Here is a 2,669-nt window from a genome sequence, read left to right on the forward strand (position 1 = left end):
GGCAAGCCCCGCAGCGCCCCTCCACCTCGGAGCAGATCCTAGACCGAGGAAAAACAGTCCCCCAACACAGCCCCGGGTGGGCAGGGGGCACGGTTTATTTTAGAGCCGGCGACTCGCAGCCCAGGGAGCGGCGCTAAAACCCGCGGACCCGGCGGGCGCAGCGGGTCCGAGGAGCGGCGGGGGCGGCCGGCAAAGTTAACTTGGCACCACCGGCGCTTCAAAGCGGTGCAGCTGTGGCTAGCAGAGCCGGCGCCGCTTTCTTCTCGCCGCTTCCTTCTCCCCGATTAATCAGCGGCTACAGCCGTCGCTTTGATCCCCGAAATCAAACCCTCCGTCTGATGGGTGACTTGATGTTATGCTAATCCAAGCTGATTGAGCTGAGATAATTACACTTCATCCAGGTTTCCTGGGAGTTCCGAATAAATATTGATGCACATCTGTCCCCCGCTCAGGTGTAGAGGGGAGCTTTGCGCTCGCAACAGTTTCCGCCCACCCGGCAGCGCGCGCTCCGCCGCCCGCCTTCGTCCCTGCGCCCGGAGGCCACGAGCCGGGCGTTTGCCCCGAGCCTCCCCGCGCAGGGCCCGCGAGGCGCCCGGGGAAAGCGACCAAGACCTGGAGCTTTGCGGTTCGCGGCCCGGGTTGGAGTGGCCGCACACCCGTATCAGCTGTGTGGTCTTGGACATGTCACTTAATCTCTTTGAGCACCAGGGCCTAGCCATCTGTCTAGATTGCGGCAAAGATTTTTTTTTTTTTTTTTTTTTTTTTTGAGATGGAGTCTCGCTCTGTCGCCCAGGCTGGAGTGCAGTGGCGCGATCTCGGCTCACTGCAACCTCCGCCTCCCGGGTTCAAGCTATTCTCCAGTGCGACAAAGATTTAATGGGATGCGTAAGAATGGGCCGAACTGCAAGGCGAGTCTCAACCCCGCGGAGCCTTCCTCAAGCGCCTCCTCCCCGCCAGCCCTCACGCGCCCGGCCGCCCGCTCCAGACGGTACGGAATTGAATAATAAAGACAGCGTTTCAGTGGCGCCGCTCCTCCCCGCAGGCTAATTAGGTCGTGTTTGTAAAGCACTTGGAAGACAAAACGCGCCCCAAGTGTTAATTATCATTAGCCCCGTCCCAACACGCTTCCCGAGCGGTGCGGAGAGCCAGGAGTGTCCCCTAGCCAACAGGCGGCCGGGTGGAACGCGGGGACCGCAGCCAGACCGCGCCCCCCACCCCTGCTGGCTCAGATCCCTTTCCCAGGCCCTCCGAAAATTGGGACACCAGGGCAGAAAGGGGTAGGGAGAGCAGCGGGGCACGAGACACAGCTAACTGCAGGTGTATCCGTCCCCCTCCGGGTAAGAGAGAGGGGACGCCCGGGAAGGCCTCACTCAGGAGGGCCTCCAGTGTTGGGGAAGGAGTCGGAGTCCACGCAGCGACCTGGGGCGAGTCTTCCGGGGCGTGGACTTCCCTAAGCACCGTGTCTTCCTAAATCTCTCAGGGTTTTCCCCAGGCAGACTCCAGAAGCTCGCCCCCATCGACTAAAGACACTATTGCCCAATCCAGATCTCTTATAAGGCCCGGGCCAGGGCTGAAGGACTTTGGAGACAGACACCCGAGCTCAGAGTTTGTTCTGGCTGTGCCAGGCTGTACTTCTGGCAGATCTTGGCCTTGCCCTCAGAGTAAGACTGCCCTAGAAGTTGTAAAACCAAGCTAGTATTCCCTTCTCCCGCCTTTATTAGGGATGATGAATACACAGCCCAGACCCCGAGGGGCCCCCACACCACTGCCAGTGGGAAGCAGAACCCAATTGGTATCCAGCTCCTCCTTCAGTGCTGGGGGGACATACGCTTCGAATAACTCCAGCAACACTTAGAACACATCCCAGTGAAAAACAACCATGAATGATATGGAATTGACAGTCTACAAAGTGCATTTATATGCATCATCCGATTAGGTCCTAATGAGCAACTGAGGCTCAGAAATGTTAGCAGGACTAGGGCTAGAGCCTGGGTTTGCTGTCCCCAGACTCCTTGTGATGTCTCCAAGCCCACTTTTCTGAGAGAGGCTGAAGCTGTAATTCTTTGCACACATGTAATCCTCCCATACTCTGTTGCTCACCACCGCTTTCCTGAAATTGGGCATTTATCCAACAACAAGCATACCCAGGGACATTTCCTGTTGTCTTTAGAAGCTGGTGGGTAGAGCTGTGTGCCCAGACATCGTCCTCAGAGGCATGCGAAGACCAGCCTCTTGAATGAGGCAGAGTGGAGTTGGGGGGAGGGTACTCCCCACCTCCTGGGAAAAGAGTTCATAAGCTCTGCAAAGCAGGGGGTTGGACGCCACCAACCCCTTTCACCCCCGTAATTCCTAACATGCTGTTGAATAGTGTGTGCTGAACTCCAGGCCGAGGTGAACTGGAGAAGCAAGTAGTGGAGGCCTCCGAGAAGGAAGCAGACGCCAGGAGGCTGAGTTCATGCCCTTTGCCAACGCCAGGGACGCCAGGCTTCTCAACCTTCCCTGAGCCCAAGAGGGCTAGAAATCACTGGGGGAGTCCCTTAAAGGGCGGATTTATGGCCCAGCCAGAGATTCTGATATAACAGTCTGTGTTAGAGCCCCTGGAATCTGCTTTAAACACTTCACACACACACACACACACACACACACACACAGACACACACACACACACA

At 57.3% G+C, this 2,669-nt stretch overlaps 3 annotated features.

Moving 5' to 3' along the window:
- Positions 724-1,333: an enhancer, noted in NCBI's record as "OCT4-NANOG-H3K4me1 hESC enhancer chr11:116451429-116452038 (GRCh37/hg19 assembly coordinates)". NCBI's record gives its function as "activates a minimal SCP1, AML or CMV promoter by ChIP-STARR-seq in naive and primed H9 embryonic stem cells {active_cell/tissue: H9 hESC(naive and primed)}" and the evidence as "EXISTENCE:reporter gene assay evidence [ECO:0000049][PMID:30033119]".
- Positions 1,334-1,943: an enhancer, noted in NCBI's record as "H3K4me1 hESC enhancer chr11:116452039-116452648 (GRCh37/hg19 assembly coordinates)". NCBI's record gives its function as "activates a minimal SCP1, AML or CMV promoter by ChIP-STARR-seq in naive H9 embryonic stem cells {active_cell/tissue: H9 hESC(naive)}" and the evidence as "EXISTENCE:reporter gene assay evidence [ECO:0000049][PMID:30033119]".
- Positions 2,053-2,233: a silencer, noted in NCBI's record as "fragment chr11:116452758-116452938 (GRCh37/hg19 assembly coordinates)". NCBI's record gives its function as "represses an EF-1alpha promoter that drives an FKBP-Casp9 reporter gene in an ReSE screen in phorbol 12-myristate 13-acetate-treated (for megakaryocytic differentiation) K562 erythroleukemia cells {active_cell/tissue: K562(+PMA)}" and the evidence as "EXISTENCE:reporter gene assay evidence [ECO:0000049][PMID:32094911]".

Source organism: Homo sapiens, chromosome 11 (genome assembly GCF_000001405.40).
Source record: "Homo sapiens chromosome 11, GRCh38.p14 Primary Assembly".
Classification (NCBI taxonomy): Eukaryota; Metazoa; Chordata; class Mammalia; order Primates; family Hominidae; genus Homo; species Homo sapiens.